The following is a 20,752-nucleotide window of genomic DNA, read 5'->3' on the forward strand; positions in this document are numbered from 1 at the left end:
CCTCCGAGCTGTGTGAACTGGGAAAGGTAAGCCACATGGCTGAGCCCCCAGTCCTGCCTCCTACAGATGAGAACAGTCCTGCTCCCACTCAGTCCCTTTGCAGTCCCTGTTCCCCGGGCCTGGAACTCAGCCTATCAATCTTGGCTTGCACAGTTGTTTCACACCATTCCAAGATCAAGGCAACTTTTCTCTCCTCCAAGAGACCCACTTCACTGGGTTTCTCAGCTTTGAAGCACTTATCACCACATGAAATGACCTAGCCCATCACTTGATGGACTGCCCATCTCCTTTCCCTTCTGGAAAGTGTCACCCTTAAAGTGGGATCATGTATGTCACATACCCCTGTAACTCTCATGCTTCAGAACAGTACCTGAAAGATAATAGAAGCTCAATGAATATGCATTGAAAAAATAAGTCAATAATATGTGAAAAGAGTGGGTAAAAGCATCCGCTGTTGTGAGATATTACCTGTAAATGTTTATGTAGTCCATTCCCAACTATATATATAAGTTGTATTATTTACTAAAAGTGTTTTGCACTACGGAAAGAAAAAATGTGCAAAACAGACTTTCAAGTGAACCTCATAATTAATTTATTTGAAAGGTTAAGTGTTCTGCCTGCTAACTACAACAGAAGGCAAAGGAGAGCCCCTCCATAAGTATCAGTACACCTACCAGACTAATCTCCCTGATCATGGCCACAAACCCGTCTGCAAGGAGGAACTGACCCCACATTACAGGTAACTGAGACGCAGAGGGCTAAGTCAATTGCACAGAATCACACACTCATCAAAATGCAGAGCTGGAGTTTAAATGCTGACATTTTCCCAGCGAGAACCACAGGTGAACAATAAAATGGGAAAATGAATCTCCTCACACAAAAGAAGCCTCCCTCTACTCCCACCCTCAGTCGTATTGGCAAGTGGAAGCGCCCAGGAGTCAAAACTCTCATTAAATGAGAATAGAGCTAACTATGAACACATCCACAACAGGGTGGGAGAGGGGGAGGGGATGACCACACATCCGGAGAGAGAAAACACCACGGGAGCACAGGAGAGGCTGCTTCTTTGCTCTAATCCAGATCATCAACATCCCAGCCCAAAAGTCCAAGTGCAAAAGACAGGATGCAGCAAGGGACTCCCTGGCTGTGGGGACAGGAGAGAGAGGACCACCATAGTGTGTCCTCAAAATAGAAGTAGGTGGAGGCCTTCTCGGCTGTGGCCAGCTGGCATTCCACAGGCTCACTTACAGTGACCCGATAAGCTATATAAAGCTCGTTTTGTGGCCACGACAAAGCCTGGGGTGGAGAAAACTCTTAATTATAGCTGATGCTCCGGGGCTGGCCTTGTCCTCGGCCTCCGCCCCACACACTGCAGGAAGCTGAGGCTGAGATTGCTTCCCCTGGGAGCCTCTGTCAGGCAATGGAGAAGCAGGAGTTGATGTCGTGACACAGGGGCACTTCCCTGAATGTGTCCAAAGCCAAGGAAACACATAGCCACCAGCATCACGGCAGACCTTAGGGAAAGCCACTGGGGAGGGAGGTCAGATATGATGCCTGAAATGCGTCTGTAATAACACTGGCCATGCGTTACTGCTGTTACTGTTGTTATTCCACTCCTCAGTCTGCTGATACTCTTTTTCATTTGTAAAATGGGGATATTGATTTTTTTCCAAGTTCGTTTCAGTCATTCATTCAACAAACAGCCACTGGCCACCAGGTATGAGCCACATCTGTTCTAGACACTGGGTAGGGTTTGATAATTAGATATGCAGTAAGATTGCAGAAGGATGGTTGAAAGCACTCACTCTTAGGCAGTAGGTTCCGACAAAAGAAAGACTTCCACACCTGTCCCCTGCAATCCTGGACAGGCCACTCAGCCCCTATGTGCCTCTGTGCCATCAACCATAAAACAGCCAGCCTGCCTTTTCTAAATCTGCACCAGCCTTCAAATTCTAACCATTTGTCTCTGTCCATCAAAATGTGAATGCATTAAATATTTCCATTATTGTTGGCTATAATTTCAGATTTGCTTCATGTTCTTATATTCTTTTCTTTGGCGGGGGTGGGGTGGGGAGTGAAACAGATCATTGCCCATGAACTTCTAATGCGCACATCACAACAGCAAGCACAGAATTAACTGTCAGGCCACTGCCCTTATTTCCTTTAAACAATATTTAGGAGCTCATCCTACATACTAGGCTCTGTTCTAGGCACTGAGGTACCACAAGGAACAGACTTTGCCCTTGCGAAGCTTATATCCTTGTGTGTGAAGACATACACTAGGCAGGTAAACAAATGCATATATAAAATTACACATTCCGTTGTGTAATTGTCTGCCATTTTCCTGCTGCCCCAAGTAGACAAGTTTCCCTCTCGAGGACAAAGAGGATGCCAGATTCACTACTGCGTCATGGGCACCTGGCCTGTGTCCAGCACAGAGGAATGACTAAATGTGCTTGTTGAATGAATGAATGAATGAATGAAGGGAATGTTTACTATAATGCATGACTGTTAATGAAGGAATGGATAAATGACATTGAATTGAATGGCTGTTTTAATGCATGGTTATTGAATGAATGAGTGAGTTGGATCTAACTCAATGACTACTACATCAAAAAAAACCCTGATATTTTTAGTCTACCATTTTCCAGGTCATCAATAAGTGGCCTCTATTGAGACTAGTTCCTCCTCAGGCTGTGAAGTCCCCCACAGGCATCCTCTGTGTACCAAGAGATTTCTGGTGTTCAAATTCTGCCATGCTGCCTGATTCAATCTCACTAGCTGCTTTCCAATATGTTACTATTAGCTCTTTTATTTTGTTTTGCTTTGTTTCTAATTGAAGCAATTGTAAGGGGATTTCATTTCATTTGTAGCCAGAATAGACCAGGCCCTCTTCATCTCACAGCTGTATTTACAAAAACTGATTCCCTTTAGATGACTGAGCATTCACTTAAATCTTACATCTAATTTTAGGATTTTGGAGAAGCCCTGTCTTCACAGAATCCATGAGCTTTTCTTGACGTGATCAGGGCGGACGTGTGTTCTGGGCTGGCCTGTGTAGGGTTTCCCTTTCTCTTGGTAACAGCTCCCTGGTTTTCCTTCATGTATCAGATCCCTTTCCTTGAGGGAGCTGGGCTGGGAACTAACTCTACTCCCAAATGTTAGACAAGGTCTTGTGACAGGCCCAAAATATTCAACCTATTTCCACTCCTAGACTAGTGATTGGTGTAGGGATGGTCACATGACCTACTGTAGTCCAGTGAGACCGAGTGCCAGGCCTGCTGGGTAATAATCTCTTCTCCTCCCCGGTTTGCAGGCAGACATGGCTCTGAGATCCACTGAGAGGTGTCTTGCTGTGGTGTCCCCAACTTGCCCTCCCATGTCCATTCTCTGCCTCTGCCCTGCTCCCAGCCCAGGAGGCCAGCCACTGTGACTGCATCACTTGGCCTTGCTTGGCTGGTTTCAGACGGGGTCAGGCTAGTGGAAGAACAGCCATGCAAGAGCAGATACGGGGCAGGGGCTTCTTTCTTGCTCCTCTTTGCCTGTGTGTTGTGGTCTGGCAAGAGAACTGTATGCCTTCATGACTAAGGTTCCTACAGGGCCACCCAATCTCAGCCCTCATGGACTCTAGTGACATACTCCATCCCTTCTCAGCTGGCTTCTCCCATCACTAGTTCCTGCGTACCTCAGTATCCCTTGTTGATCTCACCCTCCTCTAAATAAAACCTTCATCAGAGTCTCTTCACTGAAACCCATTAACCAGTATAATTCTGACACATAAGGCAAGCCAAGAACAGAGTTAACACCAAGACAGAGGAACCTGGAAATGGAGAGTGGAATGAATGGGTCCAGGTTTCATCGTTTGAAGCTGCCTGACCTCTGGCCTTTCCATTGAAAGTGATAATATTAATACATTTGCTTTACCAAGACCAGTCATGGTGAAGCCCATGTTCTGGAGGCATGGGGGAGAGGCCTGGAGTCTGAAGGCCTGGGTTCTGTTCCCAGCCCTGGTGTCTATTAACTGTGTGGCACATCCCAGGGACTTGACCTCTCTGGGGTTGTCTTTGCCATTCTCAGAGCCATCCCTGGGCATGAAGCTCCTGCTGAGATCCAGAACCACTCTGAACCAAGACTGTCAGGATGGCAAAAACAAACAAACAAACAAAACAGTGGGAAGGATCCGGAAGTAACCTTGTTTCCCAGCACTCTGCATCAAGGGGTTCTGGATTCTGGAATGACAGGTAGAATTCATTGTTCCTGAGCTACCACATTGAATTTCTACTTCTTAGCTGGGGCTGTGACCCTGTGCCTAGTTCTTATCTGTGCAGATTTCTGATTGATCCAGTGTGCACCTGGATCAATCCCATAGCTCCAGTCCTGCCTGGGATGTCTCCTATCACTCCTCTTTCCCCACCTAACCCATCCCCTCTCAGGCCTACAACTGAGGGCCCAACATGCCTTGAAGCTGTGCCTTCCATGATCTCAGCATTCTGTGTGCGCTTATCTATAAAAAAGAGAGAATCCTTATCCTATAAGGTTGTGATATGGGTCAGTGAAGTCACGTATGGGAAGTCCACAGCCAATGCCTTGCATGCTCTAGGGTAGATTACCTTCACTTAGCCTTCTGGGCATCGATTTCCACCTCTGTAACACAGGCCAAGTCATCGGTGCTGGATCTCTCACAATTATCTGAATTTCTCCAGCAGTCTTGTGAAGGACCTCCCTTTGTCCTGCTGTTCAGCGGCATTCCATTCCCCACAGAGATCTGACCATGTCATACCCCCGCATAAACCCTCCAGCATGTCCTCACCTTAGCACACAAGGCCCCCCTTTATGGGGACCCTGACAATCTGGCAATGCCCAGCAGCCCTAACCTCCTCCCTTTCCCCAGCTGCACGGGCCCATCATGGTTCATTGACCATGTCATGGCATCCTTTAATCCCACTCCATCGCATCCTTCTCAATCCCATGCAGTTCATGCCCATCCTCTAAACAACCTAAGCACCACCTCCTCCAGGGAGCCCTCCATCATTCTCAGTATCCCCACACATACCACGACCACACATGGACCTGGCACATGAGACGCTGCTAAAGTTTACCTGCCCGGTATCACATTCCCTTTTATGTGGCTTTCCTGCCTTCTAGACTATGAGCACCCTGAGAATGGTTGCTGTGTCTTGTCTTTTTCTGTAGCCCCAGAAATCAGCACAAGGCCATACAAAAAAGTAGAGCCCTGATAAGTATCTGTTGAATAAATAAGTGGAGATTAAAAGAGCCAACACAGAGAAAAGGGTCATACTGTGGTAAAGCAGCCTAGAGCCACCCCAGTTTCAGAAATGGTTTAGCTGTTTTCTCACTGGGCTGCAAGCCAGGCACATCCCCAGGATCAGGCCCCTGCCTCCCCTTCTGACTCACACCCAGCTGCTCTCATCACGAGCACCTTCCATGCTGCCCCAGCCCCCAAAGCTTTCCCTGCCCCTGGCCAAGGTGTAACCTATGGCTTCCCAGCCAGGGGTTGTTCAGCCCCCTGCAGTAATCAGCAAGACAGAGGCTGAGGCTCCACACTCAGCCTGACCGGCTTCAAAGCCCAACCCCTCCCGGGCCTGGAGGAGAAGATTACTCAGCACCCACTGTGACTGGAGAAGGACAAATGTCACCCCAATGCAATAGGCAGAGGCAGAAGCTGGAGACAGTCTGGAACATGAGAAACCCACTTCATCCTTCCTGTCCTGGGGAGGGCGCTGTCCTCAGAATGACCCCCACTAAATCCTGGAGGTCAGGCTTCCAGGTCAGAGCCCTGGGGGCCATCAGCCCTCTGCCTCCCCTCCCCCACCCCCAGCCACAATCAACAGATTCCAGACAAATAAGCTAGAGGCCTTGGGTTATCTCAGAGGGCACCAGGTCAACAGCACTTGGCCTCTGGGATAAGCACCTCCTGACTGTGTCTAAATGACTGACTCTGGGCTGCTGGGAAGAGCCGAGGGAGCCTGAATGCTTCTTGCGTGATCCCTCATCACTGCCCCTTCGGAGACCCTGCTATACCCAATGCTTCAGGCCAGACTTTGCATGCACAGTTTCTAGCTTTCACAGCTCTGGGCAGTAAGTAGAGGATGTTCCCACATCAGAGGTAAAGATGAGACACCAAGTATCTCCCAGGTGGCAGGGTGGTTAGAACCCATCCCTCTTTCATCCCAAACCCCTTCTTGCCTCTGCCCGCGACCTCTGCCTCTGGATGGGAGAAGATATCCTTCTGACAACAGGAATGTCCAGGGGGTGCCCATGCTACTAGGTTCCCTGTGTGGCCAAACCCAAGAATGTGGGTCCCCTCAGCCTCTGCACCTGCTACTTCCCCCGCCTTCCTGGAGCCGGCCGTAGGATCCCTATCTGCCCGAGGACCCCTCCCGTGGGCTCAGCAGGGGGCGTCACTCTTGGGAGGGGCCGCATGGGGCCCGGGCGCACTCACTTTCACAAAGACGGCGCCGCAGCTTGCCCCGGATCTTGTCGATGGCATTGAAGTCGGACACGTGGAAGACGTGGGCGGACTTGGGCTCTGAGGCGATCTCCTCCAGCTCCTCCTTGAGTGCCTCGCCCACGCCCACGGCAAAGATGCGGATGCCAGCGCGGTGGGCTGCCGCCGCGGCGTCCAGCACCAGGTCCTGGCTGCGGCCGTCGGTGAGCAGGATGGCCACCTGCTTGTAGGCGCGGTCCCTGGGGCGGCCGCCGGCGTGTGGGGAGAAGCTGCGGGCCGTGATGTAGCGGAGCGCGTCTCCCGTGTTGGTGTTGCCCCCGTGGTAGGCGAGACGCCGGGCAGCCGCCTTGACCTCCTCCTGCGAGCCAAAGAGTCCCAACTCGAAGGCCGTGGTGGGCCGGTCGCTGTAGCGCACGACCCCCACACGGGTGCGGTCGGGGCCCACCTCGAAGGTGTCCACCAGGTTGGCCACCCACTGCCGGACCTTCTCAAAGTCCTCCTTGCCCACGCTGGAGGAGGTGTCCAGGAGGAAGACCAGATCGTAGTGGACACTTTTGCAACCTGCAGGGGTGAGAGAAGGGGTGGCGTAGGGCAAATGGGCATGGAAAGGACACTGTCCTGGGGTATACAGGTCACTGGGGTCACACACACCTGCTCAAATACCTACCTGCCCTGTCTCTCATGACCCAAGGGCCCTGGGCTGCCTGAAAGGCCTGAGCCTCAGTTTCCACACCTTCACATGGCAATAATGATGAGTTTTCCCCAAGACTACTGTGAGGCTCAACTGACAGTAGGTAGCATCACATTAAAATGACTAACACCCACCGCACAGCACTATGCCTCAATCTCTTCACTTTTATTTTGTTTAAAAGGTGACTCCATTTTTCATTATTTTTCAACCTACCCCAAATAATGTATGCCCATTTCCAAGAAGTCAGAAAATGCAATCAAAAGATGTTTAGATGTTTTAGGCTGGGCGCGGTGGTTCACGCCTGTAATCCCAGCACTTTGGGAGGCCAAGGCGGGTGGATCACGAGGTCAGGAGATCGAGACCATCCTGGCTAACGCAGTGAAACCCCATCTCTACTAAAAAATACAAAAAATTAGCCAGCAGAGGTGGTGGGCGCCTATAGTCCCAGCTACTCGGGAGGCTGAGGCAGGAGAATGGCGTGAACCCGGGAGGCGGAGCTTGTGGTGAGCCGAGATTGCACCACTGCACTCCAGCCTGGGCGACAGAGCGAGACTCTGTCTCAAAAACAAAACAAAACAGGTGTTTAGATGTTTTAAATGCCCATATTCCCACACAGAGATAACCACTGTTAAAGCATGGTATATATACTCATATATACTCAATTATTTTTTATTTCCATATAATTATTGATAGGAATGGGACTGTACCAGACACACTGATACATACGCTGTTCTCCCTGCATTTAGTTATAAGCTAGAAATCCATTTCTGGTTTGATCATGCTGGTTTCCATGGCTGCAAAGAGTCCTCTGCACAGATGAACATAATTGATTTAGCAAGCGCTCTCCTGTTAGATATTTAACTACTCAGCCCTTTAAAATCAGATAATACAAGAGGAAGTGTTTTCCAATCTCTAGAATGCTGCACAAATATACAAGGAACTATCAAGAAGCCCTGGTCTTAAGGCCAGGTGCAGTGGTTCACGCCTGTAATTCTAGCAATTTGGGAGGTCAAGGCGGGCAGATCACTTGAGGACAGGAGTTTGAGACCAGTCTGGCCAATATGGCAAAACCCCGTCTGTACTAAAAATACAAAAATTAGCCAGGCATGGTGGCTTATGACTGTAATCCCAGCTACTCAGGAGGCTGAGGCACAAGAATCCTTTGAGCCGGGAGGTGGAGGTTGCAGTGAGCCAATATCACATCACTGCCCTCCAGCCTGGGTGACAGAGTGAGACACTCTCTCAAAAAAAAAAAAAAAAAAAAAAAAGAAGAAGAAGAAAAAGAGGAAGAAAAAGCCCTAGTTTGACTCTTCCAGAAGGTGGGGTTTGGCCATCCAAACAGAAGCAGAGGACCAGGCCTCTGGGAACACCAGGCACAAACATTTGGCTATAAAACAAAACAAAACAAAACAAAAAAACACTTTGTTGAAATACCAGATTGGAAAGGTAGAATGGTCTGGTAGTGGCTGGGTGCACGAGAGTTGGAGGAGAATGCACCTGCCTGCTCAGCAAGTGGCCATGGACTTGTCACACCCTCTCTCAGGGGCTTTGAAGTCTCATAAAGGAGGGTATCTTTTTATCCACCAATTCCAAACTTAGTGATTTATCCCAAGAAAACAATCAGATAAATGGAAAAGAAAAAGATGTATAAAGAAATTCACAGCAACATGGCAAAAAAAATGTTGGAGATAATACACAATCACCTATGTGGAATTAAATAAATTACTTAAAGAAAAATCATGATGTATTCATTGCTAGGCAGCCATGACAGTGATGGCTGAAGAGGAATCCTTATTTACCAGCATGGATACACTTTTCCAATATACCATTGGGTGTGAAAAGCTGTTTATAAAATGATATGTATAACATAGAATTTCTGGAAAGAAAACCTGTGCGTGTGTGTGCACGCGCGATTGTGTATGTATGTATGCATGACAGAAACTGAGTGGGAAACACTTGCTTACCTCTGGCAAGCAGAGCTATGAGTGAATTTTATTTTTTGTATTTTTTGCTCTTATATTTGCAAGCAATAAAGTTCAAAAAACAGAAAAACAATAAAGTTATACGAATTTACACACATACTCCCACAAATGCTTCCCTATGTGACCCGAGCCAATGCCACCCTTGAATGTTCCACACCTACCTTTCCCTCTAGTTTTGAAAATCCAAGGGACAATCTGCATGTCAGGCACTGAGTTACATCCCAGCCTTAGCAGGACTGATCCCTAACAGGATTAGAACTCTGGAGTGTGTTTGACCAGATGTGCAGACTTGGAGATCATTCCTGGGGAGTTTTTTTCCTTGACACAAAAGATCATTCTTTTGTCTTTGGGACAATAACGTCCCAGGCTGTTCAGGATAATTGCTGCTGAGGGCCAGGCAGAACCCGGCCTGCAGACTGTAATCCTAGAACAAATTTGTTTGAAGGCTACAGAAGTTTCATTTGTTCAGGAGGCCTCCCCAAGGGGCCCTTTTGAGCTCAGGGCACATTTTCTCCCAGAGGCCAGGGAACAGGCGGGATTGTGTGCCCGTGAGGCTGGAGTGTGATGTGGAGAGAAGAGATCTGAACCCGGGCAGGTGCCCTGGCTTCTGGCCTTGATTCCGCCAAGGCAGGGGCTATGCCACTCCTGGCAGGTGAGTGCTCTTTTGGGGCCCACCATTTTCTACTATGAAATGAGGGCACAGAGGAGACCACCCTAGGGCTTTTTTGCTTTTAAATGTGATAATCCTGTGCATTGGCTGTGCATTTGGGGTTGGCTAGATGGGCACAGAAATCTCATGTTCCCTGCGTATAAAACAGGATGTTTACAGTTATTACTGTCTTTCCAGCTAGCCAGGCTTTGAGAGGCTCAGAAAAAAAAAAAAAAGCAAGAGACAACTCTGTAAATTCGATAAAGAAATAATGTCAACTTTTCTTTTTTAAGTCCAGGGAGAAAAGCCTTAGAATGTCACTTTCTGGGTGGGTGTGGTGGCTCATGCCTGTAATCCCAGCACTTTGGGAGGCCGAGGCGGGCGGATCACGAGGTGAGGCGATCGAGACCGTCTTGGCTAACACGGTGAAACCCCGTCTCTACTAAAAATACAAAAAATTAGCCAGGCATGGTGGCAGGCGCCTGTAGTCCCAGCTATGCAGGAGGCTGAGGCAGGAGAATGGCGTGAACCCGGGAGGCGGAGCTTGCAGTGAGCCGAGATCACGCCGCTGCACTCCAGCCTGGGCGACAGAGCGAGACTCCGTCTCTAAAAAGAAAAAAGTATATAGATCACTTCCTATAAGATGGGCTCAGCGTTTTGCTTCCTGAATCCAGTGACAGGTGGTCTCCCTGGCTGCCCAGTGGGCAGTATATGGACATCCCACCTGTCTGTGTATCGGGGACCCCAGTGTGCAGGCTCTATGCCGGGGTTGTGGACCCTGACCCCTCCTTCACATCTAAGCACTGACCAGTGCCTTCCCCCAGGGCAGGGGCCCTCATACAGGTTAGCAAAACCATGTTGCCATGTCTCTCCCCTCCTGCCCCGGGCCTTCTCATCTCCAGTCAACTTTCCCAACTACCGGGTCTACTACATAAACACGCTTTTCTCACTGTCCTGGATGCCTTTGCTAAGTGGGCTCCAGTGTGTCCATTTCCCCTGGAATGTGTCCCAAAACCTTCACAGGACAACACAGCCAGGTCCTCACCCCTGCCTCCTCCCCGAGCTCCAAACCTGCACACACTTGGTAGAGACAGGCTCACAACCCAGGATGTGACTGACCAAGACGTGTTAAAGCAACTCATTCCCTCTCTCTGTCACGCTCTCTCCTCCTCTCGCAGGAACACACACTCATCCCCTCACATTAACACTCACATGCATACTGACATTGCCACACATATTCACACTCCCTCAAACTCACACACACTTCCCCACACACTCCCTTAAACTCACACACTCTCACACTCCCTCACACATTACCTCAAACTCACACATATTCTCTCACACTCCCTCACACACTTCCTCAAACTCCCTCACACTCCCCTACACCTCACACTCATACACACTCCCTCGAACTCCTCACACACTTCGTCAAACACACACTCCTACACTTCCTCACACTCCCCCACATGCTCCCTCAAACTCACACTCCCACACACTCCCACACACTGTCAAACTCACACACTCCCTCACACTCCCACACACTCTTCCTCAAACTCACACACTCTCACACTCCCTCACACACTCCCTCAAACTCACACTCCCATACACTCCCACACACTTTGTCAAACACACACTCCCTCACACTCCCCCACTCTTCCTCAAACTCACACACATTCCCTCTCACTCCCTCGCACACTTCAAACTCCCACACACAGTCCCCCACATTCCTTCACACTCCCTCACACACTCTCCCTCACACTTTCACACTTCCTCACACACTCATACACATACTGTCAGACATATACAGGCCCTTGCTGAGGAGCTGGTGATTTTTTGTCCCTAGGTTAGAAGGCAGCTGACTCACACTTGGATTCCGGACTCTCCCTCTCTCTCACACAGTCAGTTGTGAACTCACTTGCATGCACACACCACAGCCCATGCTCACGGACACATGCTGTCTGCTCTGTCCCCAGCACAGCATGGCACAGCCCACGGTGGCCCCACCTGCCCGCTGAGCCTGGCAGCCGCCGCCCCCACTCCACAGCAGCAGCATCCAGAGGAGGCCAGCCACAGCGTTCCCTCGGAGGCCGGCCATGGCTCTCCTGTTCTTGGGGACAGGCTTCTCTTGGCCAGGAAGAGACGCTGTTAGGGTCTACAGCAGCATGGCCTGTGTGGAGAAAGACACCCTTAGAGAAGGCTCTCAAGCTGAAAGTCTGTGAGAGGCAAACTCTGGGCCCTGCCCAGGGGGATTCCCTACACCCAGCCTTCCAACCCATCTTCCCTCCCGGATTCAACTCCAGGCAGCGAATGTGTGACCTTCCAGAGCAGAGCCAAGTGTGACCTCCCCTTCATGGATTTACGCCTGGATCCCCCCAGCCATCCAATTAGCAGATGGGCTTGCAGAAGGGAGTAGGAGAGGGCCTTGTGCCTGAGGACTCCACACCACATCCCGCCTGGTATGGCTTGGCTCTGTGTCACCACCCAAATCTCCCTCTCTGGAATCCCCACGTGTCGAGGGAGGGACCTGGTCGGAGGTGATTGGATCATGGGGGCAGTTTCCCCCATGCTGTTCTTATGATATTGAGTGAGTTCTCAGGAGATCTGCTACTTTTATAATGGTAGTTCTTCCTGCTCTCTCACATATTCGCTCTCCTGCCACCATGTAAGAAGCACCTGCTTCCCCTTCCTCCATAACTGTAAGTTCCCTGGGGCCTCCCCAGCCATGCGGAACAATGAGTCAATGAAACCTCTTTCGTTTATAAATTACCATCTTGGGCAATTCTTTCTAGCAGCATGAAAATGGACTAATACACCACCTAAAATCGTTCAGTGTCACCGTCCTCATCTGAATATGGCATGAGGGCCTGCCATGATCTACCCACCCTGTCCAGCCTGGCCTCTCACCTCGCCTCACTCCCCCACCATGCTGCACTTGGTAGCCATGAACTTTCTAGCCATTTCCCACAGGTTCCAGGTGTACCACACCTCCCTTTGCCCCCCTGGGAGGGCTTCCCTCTACCTAAAATCCCCACACCCACCCTGGGAGCCTCTGGCAATGCTGAGCTCAGATGCTCCCCTTCTGGAAAATTTTTCCCAGACCACTCACTTCCCTATGGGTTGAGGGGGTCACTGCTCAGCTACCTGCAAGTGAACCCTGAGCTCCTCAGCAGGGGGCTGGGACTCTCATTCTTCATTTGCTTCATTGTCAGCCCTGTGGACTGCTTGATCCCTGGAGGCTGAGGCCAGGCCAACTTCACTGGGCATGGAAGATTAGGGCATTTACACACAGTCAGTAAGTACCTATGAAGGAAAGAACTAACGAAGAATTCTTCAAGGGATTCCTGAACCTCAATGTTTGCAATGGTAGCGAAGTTATCTCAAAGGCAGTTGGGCAAACAATCCTCATAAGGGTTATTCTGCTTCAAATAATTGGTGAATACTTTTTAAAAGAGTCTAATAAACAGAAAAATATTAAGATGGTGGCAAGGGAGTACGTCGGGAGCAAACTCATTTACCCTTTGTAAAGTACCAATCTGATGCAGGTGTTTACAATGACCAGAGGGAAGACTGCAGAGAACCATGAAATGACATCCTACGAACTGGCATGTCCACTGCAGCTTGGAGTCACGTGCCACCACTAGCACCCTGGACCAGGGCTAGGAGGGGTTAGCCAAACATAAAAAACATGTGGCAGGGGAGTGAGCTCATGGGTGTCTGTGTGTATGTTTCTGTTTCTGATCTTTCTCTGAATTATGTTGACATTTCCACTCTTCATCAATGACAATCTAAAATGTTAAAAGGAATCAGAAGAGAAGCTCCAAAAACCTGGATTAACCGTGAAGAAAATAGCAACAGGGCTGTGCCTGATGACAAGCACAGGCAAATCAATTTCTAGGATTATCCCCCTGAAACACACCCATGTGCATATGTGTGTGCACGCACACACACACACACACGCACACACACACAGGGGAAGCGAGCTGAATGCACATTTGAAATCATGAGCCACCAGGCTTCATCTGCTGCGGGAGCCCTGCCTACCCACTGTGCCTACTGCAGGGTCACCCTCCAGTCCTAGGAATTATTTGTGGCTCCAAGGACACAAACATGCTCTCACCCTGCACTCTATCCAGGCTGCTTCTCCATCCTGGAACGCCCCCACTCCACTTGACCTCCAGATGGTCAATCAGTTCTTCCAACTCCCTATGGAGTGGCTGTTGTCATTCCAATTCTGCATGTTACACCTGATCTCAGCCAGGTCACATAACTTGCCCAAGGTCACACTCCTGGAAGTGGTGGAGCAGGCATTGGACACCCCATAACCAGCAGGCGCATTACTCCAAGGAAAGCCAGACCCCCATTCTACATCAAGTCTAGGTGTCTCTGCTGCACCTGCAACCCCTTAGTCCCTGGAGGGTTAAGTCTAGAGATACGCCCCTGCCTCAAATCCCTCCTACCTACTATATTCACCAAATGCCAACGTATCACACAGTTTTTTTTGTTTTTGTTTTTTGTTTTTTTCTGATGGAGTTTCACTCTTGTTGCCCAGACTGAAGGCTCACCACAACCTCCACCTCCTGGGTTCAAGCAATTCTCCTGCCTCAGCCTCCTGAGTAGCTGGGATTACAGGCATGCGCCACCACACCCGGCTAGTTTTGGTTTTTTAATAGAGATGAGGTTACTCCATGTTGGTGAGGCTGGTTTCGAACTCCCGACCTCAGTTGATCCGCCTGCCTCTGCCTCCCAAAGTAGTAGTATTACAGGCATGAGCCACTGCGCCCAGCCTCACACAGCTTTTAGCACAGCCTTTGTAGATGCATTTCTTCAAACAGATTTATGGCCCTGTGCTGGGCTTATATCAAATGCCTCAAAAATTCTGTATGGAACCTTGGTTTTCCAACAACCCATTAGGTTATATCTATCCTCCAAATTTTGCCCACAGACTCCCATCTCTTTTCCCCCACCTCCTGGTACCCTCTGCAGGCTTTGGGGCTGATATCTGGATGCTTACATCTGGAGAAATTATTCCCCGTATCACCTTCTCCCCTCTGATCCTTTGTCACATCCCTGATGAATGAGTGGATGAATGAATCCAGTCATATTTCTCACTTGAGGGTTAAACATGTATTTGTTCCCATGGGATCTGGCAGGGGTCCCAGGCACAGCCAGGCTGCCATCATCTGCCCAGGGCCTCTCTCCCCCGTGGCCTAGTGAGGAGGGTCTTTGAAAGCAGTGACTGCGTCTTATTGGTTTCTGTAGTACTGGTGGCCGGCACAAAGCCCAGCACAGAATTGGTGCTCAGTTGATGTTCATATTTGAGGGGAAGGAAGAGAGAAAGGAAGAGCAGAGGGGAAGGAGGAAGAGAGAGAAAAAAAAGGAAAGAAAGAAGGGGAGGCTGATGGCTCGGCTACCACAGGGAAATACTGAACTCAGAGAATCGAGACTATTGGCAGTTTCTGAGCATAGGATCATCCAAGCACCTCTGCTGTCTCTATTCTGCCTAGGACTTACTAGCTCCCAAACTTGATCTCCTTTTTTGATTTTGTCAACAGTAAAAGATTACTTAAGTGCCTATTACTAATAGAAAAGAGTATTAAGAGCCTGTTTCAAGAAATGGGCTAAGCAGTTTTTGTCCACATATTGTCTTATTGGATCCTCACGTTCATGCTATGAGCTAGGAACCACTATCTCATGAAAAAAGTACACCATGAAGGGATTAAAGTCTCAGCTGTGAGTGGTCATGCTGGGATTTGACCTCAGGTCGCAGGCTGTTCTCCATCCCCTTTCCATGCTGGGGATGTTTTCTCTCTTTTTTATATACATATATTTTTTTACTTTTTAAAATTGTTGTGAGTACATAGTGGGTGTATGTATTTATGGGGTACATGAGATGTTTTGATAGAGGCATGCAACATGAAATAGCCACATCATGGGGAATGGGGTATCCATCCCCTCAAGCACTTATCCTTCGAGTCACAAGCAATCCAACTACACTCTTTATTTTAAAATGTACAATTATTATTGACTATAGTCACCCTATTATGCTGTCAAATAGTAGATATTATTCATTCTATTCTTTTACCTGTTAACTGTCCCCACCTCTCCCCACCCCTAGCCCCTCACTATCCTTCCCAGACTGTGGTCTCTCATTGTTTTTTTTTTTTTTAGATGGAGTCTTACTCTGTTGCCCAGGCTGGAGTGCAGTGGTGCCATCTCAGCTCACTGCAACCTCTGCCTCCTGGGTTCAAGCAATTCTCTGCCTCAGCCTCCCAAGTAGCTGGGATTACAGGTGTCTGCCACCACACCTAATTTTTGTATTTTTAGTAGAGATGGGGCTTCACCATGTTGGCCAGGCTGGTCTTGAAGTCCTGACCTCGTGATCCACCCGCCTCGGCCTCCCAAAGGGCTGGGATTACAGGCGTGAGCCACCACACCCGGCCAGTCTCTCTTAACATTATATCTTGAGCAATGTCTGGCCTATTAAAAATTCCTTAAAAATGTCACCATTATTGGCTACCTAGAACTATACCTGTGGCACTGGCGTCATTGTTTTAATTGCAATTTCTACTTTGGGACATTTAGTAGGTCATTTTATTTATTTAATATGCTACAGAGGACATCTTTGCACCTAAGTCTTACCCATGTGTAATTATTTTCTGAGGGTAGATTTGTAGAAAAACACTTAGGGGGTCATAAGAGTTTTGCAAGAATCCTGACTCGTATTGCCAAATTGCTTTCTGAAAATATTGTACCAATGTCCACTGCCTCCAGCAGTGTGGGAGTGTGCGGGTGCTCCTGTCACCACCTACTTGTTAGCATTGAGTATTATCACTCCTTCAATCTTTGGTTAACTCAACAGAAGAGGCATTGTTGCTTGTTTCCCATGCATTTCTTTGTTCCATGAGGCTTATTAGCTAAGTGTATTTTCCCTTCTGTATATTTTATTTTCATGTGGCTGTACATTTCTAAACGTATTTTTCATTGTTAAAGCCAAGGTCCTGGACAGGGAAAACAATACACATTTCACTATTGATTTCTTCATTTAGGAAATATTCACGAGTTGCCCTCCTGTGCCAGGTGCTGAGGATAGGTAGATAAATGACACTGAGCCTACCCTGCACAGGTTCTCAATGACCCTGTGACACAGGTAAGACACACACCAGGGGGAGGGAGGATCAAGTGAGTGCTGGTAGAAGGAAGCCCAGGGGGTTGTAGGGGAAGGCACAGAGGTGGGGATGTCCATCACCTGACTATTTCAGGGGAAGGTCAGGCTTCCCAGCTTCCTTCCAAGGTGAGTTTGGAAGGCTGAGCAGGACTCAGCCAGACAAAAAATAGGTGATAATTTCAGGCAGAAGGAATGGCATCTGCCAGGCCCCAGAGTGGGCCAGAGTGTGGTACTTAGGGAACTTCCCTATGCATGACAGGCATGCAGGTTGCTCTCAGGAGAGGTATAATCTGGTTCCTACCACCTTCAGGGCAAAGTGCACTCAGGTCTTACCAGGGCTCTAAAGGCCACTTGTGAGAGCACAGGGTATAATAGTCTGAATGACAATACTCAGAGAGCAGCAGGAGGCAGCTACAGGAACAGGAAGAAAAGCACTGTCCAAAAATGGAACACATAAGGGCAGTCAGGGTTCCAAGGTCAGGAGTCAGATGGTCCAGGGGAGAGGCACAGAATCTTAGCAAGTCAGAGCTGATCGCCCAGCCCTCTCATGCTTCACAGCTGTATGGAGACAAGGACTTGTCGGACTTGTCCATTCTGTTGCCTAGCACCTAGAACAGCTCCTAGCATGTAGTGGTCACCTAAATAAGCATTAGATTGATGAATGAATGATGAACGGCCAGCATCTGATGCTGTTATAGTATCATATTACATTGGGGTAGCCAGGAGTCATTCATCAGAAGAATATAGGCATCATCAAGGAACTATGAAAGTAACTGATTATCACTTATTATCTACCATATGCCAAGCAGTATCTGATTATTGCATGAGCTCATGTGACTCTTCAAGGCAGGCATCATCATTTCCACTGGGTAAAGGAGGACACTGAGGTGGAGAGAAGGTATGTGTCTCTCCCCACGTCACTCAGTTGGTGAAAGAAGGGACTGGGGCTGAAACCTAGGCCTCTTCTGGGCACTAAACCCACACTCTTTCCCTGAACTCAATGGATACAACAAATCCAAATATTAGCTGCAACTGGCACTATTCACAATACCAAAGACTTGGAACCAACCCAAATGTCCAACAATGATAGACTGGATTAAGAAAATGTGGCACGTATACACCACGGAATAATATGCAGCCATAAAAAATGATGAGTTCACGTCCTTTGTAGGGACATGGATGAAATTGGAAATCATCATTCTCAGTAAACTATCGCAAGGACAAAAAACCAAACACCGCATGTTCTCACTCATAGATGGGAATTGAACAATGAGAACACATGGACACAGGAAGGGGAACATCACACTCTGAGGACTGTTGTGGGGTGGGGGGAGTGGGGAGGGATAGCATTAGGAGATATACCTAATGCTAAATGACGAGTTAGTGGGTGCAGCACACCAGCATGGCACGTATACATATGTAACTAACCTGCACATTGTGCACATGTATCCTAAAAGTTAAAGCAAATATTAGCTGCAACTACTGAGCCGCCTTTGTCTTGTGAAATAAGAAAGATGGTGGCCAGTGAGGGCGGGAAATAAAATGGATCATCCATCGTTGTTCAGTATTTTCCCAGGCTCTAGAAATTTGATAATTTCCCTCATTGCAGAAACCCGGCTTTATCAATGTTGTAATCTCCAAGTTTTTAGAGAAATCTTTGTCATATATCTTTCTAAATACTCAAGAAAAGACAGAACTAAAGACCAATATCCTTTATAAACATAGATGCAAAAATATTTACAAAAAGAAATGCAAATCAAATTCGGGCAGCATAGTAAAAGTAACAGACACCATGACCAAGTGAGGTTTATCTCAGGAATGCAGGAGTGGTTCAACATACAAAAATCAATCAATGTAACATACCACATAAGCAGAATGAAGGGAAGAAGAAAATACATAGTGAATCCAACTGATGCAGAAAAAGCATTTGACAAAACCCAGCACCCTTTCATGATAAAAAAAATAAAATAAGACTATAAAAAAACTTCCTCAGGATAATAAAGGCCATCTATGAAAAATTCACAGCTAACGTCATCCTCAATGGTGAAAGACTGAAAGTTTTTCCAAGAACAAAACAAGGATGCTTCTTTGCCGTATCTACTCAACATGCTACTGGAAGTTCTAGCCACAGCAACTAGGCAAGAAAAAGAAATAAAAGGCATTCAACTTGAAAAGGAAGAGGTAAAATTATCTCTATTTGCAGATGGCCTTATCTTTTTTTTTAGGGATGGGGATTCACTCTGTTTCACATGCTAGAGTTCAGTGGCACAATGATAGCCTACTGCAGCCTTGAACTCCTGGCTTAAGCAATCCTTCTGCCTCAGCCTCCCAAGTAGCTGTGACTACAGGCACATATCACCATGTCCAGCTACGGATGGCATGATCGTATATGTGGAAAAACCCAAATAATACCCCCAAAACTGGTAGAACCAATAAACAAATTCAACGAAGTATAAGATACAAAACCAGCACTCAAAAGTTTGTTGTGGGCTGGGCACAGTGGCTCATGCCTGTAATCCTAACACTTTGGGAGGCCAAGGCAGGCAGATTGCCTGAGCTCAGGAGTTCGAGACCAGCATGGGCAACATGGTGAAACCTCGTCTCTACAAAAATACAAAGAAAAAAAAAAAACTAGCCGGGCATGGCAGCATGAGCCTGTAGTCCCAGCTACTCAGGAGGCTGAGGCAGGATGATTGCTTGAACCCAGGAGGTGGAGGTTGCAGTGAGCTGAGATCGTTCCACCATATTCCAGCCTGGCGACAGAGTGAGACTCCGTATAAAAAAAAAAAGTTTGTTGTGTTCCTGTACACCAGCAATGAACAATGCAAAAAGAAAACTAGGAAAATGATTTCATTCATTTATGGTAGCATCAAAAAGGATAAAATGTTAGGAATAAATGTAATCAACAATGACACATACACTGAAAACTACGAAACACTAGTGACAAAAGTTAAAGACCTAAATAAGAAGAAAGATATCTCATCTGATTGCTTAATGGTTGACAGATTTTCTGTCTCAGGTGATGAAAATGTTCTAGAAATAGAGTAATCACAGCAGACTTGCAAATTAGTACTAATCACCCCCTTTACCAGTGATGAACCTGGGTTCAGGGAGGATAGACAACTTCCCTAAGCACACACCCTAGTAATGACAGCTGGTCTTGGCATCAGATCTGAAGGGCGCCAAAGCCCCTGCTCTTCCCAGCACTAAACCATTAACATACATTAAACCATTTACGTACATTACATGCTCATAAGTGCAGTAGCCACTTTAAGGGCTTTATAAATAATAATTCATTTAGTCTGAACAGTAGGCATAATTAGCTCCATTGTACAGAGTAAGAAACTGAAGAACTTGGGCTTAAGTAATCCTCCCATGACTCCCATATCTAGGAGTCATGGGAAGGATTCAATCCCAAACAATCTAACCATAGGTCCATACTCAGTCACTCAGCAACATTGCTTCTCCCAGGATGTTTGCAATCTGGCTGCAGCAACACTTATTTCATAAGTACAGACACAATGAGAGAAAAAAGCAAAGGATATAGTCAAACACCAAACTATGCGTCATCCAGTTTACAAGAAGGAGAGGACAAGAGCATTGAAAGAGAAGGAAAATTTGCTGCAGAAGAAACTTTCAGTTAACCCCTGGGAGGGAAGAGCATGGCTTTCTTTATCCTGTTGATGTGATGAATAACATTAATTGATTTTCAGATGTTGAACCAGCCTTGCCTACTTGGGACATATCCCACTTGGCTATGACGTATAATTATTTTCATATGTTGCTTGATTTATTT

General features: G+C 47.6%; 1 protein-coding gene across 10 annotated transcripts in view; it reads right to left on the bottom strand.

Moving 5' to 3' along the window:
- COL22A1 (collagen type XXII alpha 1 chain) overlaps nt 1–20,752 on the bottom strand; it is a 325,807-nt gene that overhangs the window by 283,052 nt on the left and 22,003 nt on the right. For 8 of the 10 annotated variants that reach the window (XR_001745487.2, XM_011516884.3, XM_017013151.2 and 5 more), the window contains exons 2-3: nt 11,796–11,958; nt 6,464–7,030 (exon numbers count right to left, since the gene is read on the bottom strand). Coding sequence is in view for 9 of the 10 variants with exons in the window: in XM_011516884.3 (XP_011515186.1) it covers nt 6,464–7,030; nt 11,796–11,886 (658 nt within the window). In the remaining variant the exon portion in view is untranslated. The remainder of the gene's footprint in view (nt 1–6,463; nt 7,031–11,795; nt 11,959–20,752) is intronic. The other 2 variants (XM_017013150.3, XM_011516886.4) reach the window with 2 other exon arrangements.

The sequence above is a fragment of the Homo sapiens genome, chromosome 8 (genome assembly GCF_000001405.40).
Source record: "Homo sapiens chromosome 8, GRCh38.p14 Primary Assembly".
Classification (NCBI taxonomy): Eukaryota; Metazoa; Chordata; class Mammalia; order Primates; family Hominidae; genus Homo; species Homo sapiens.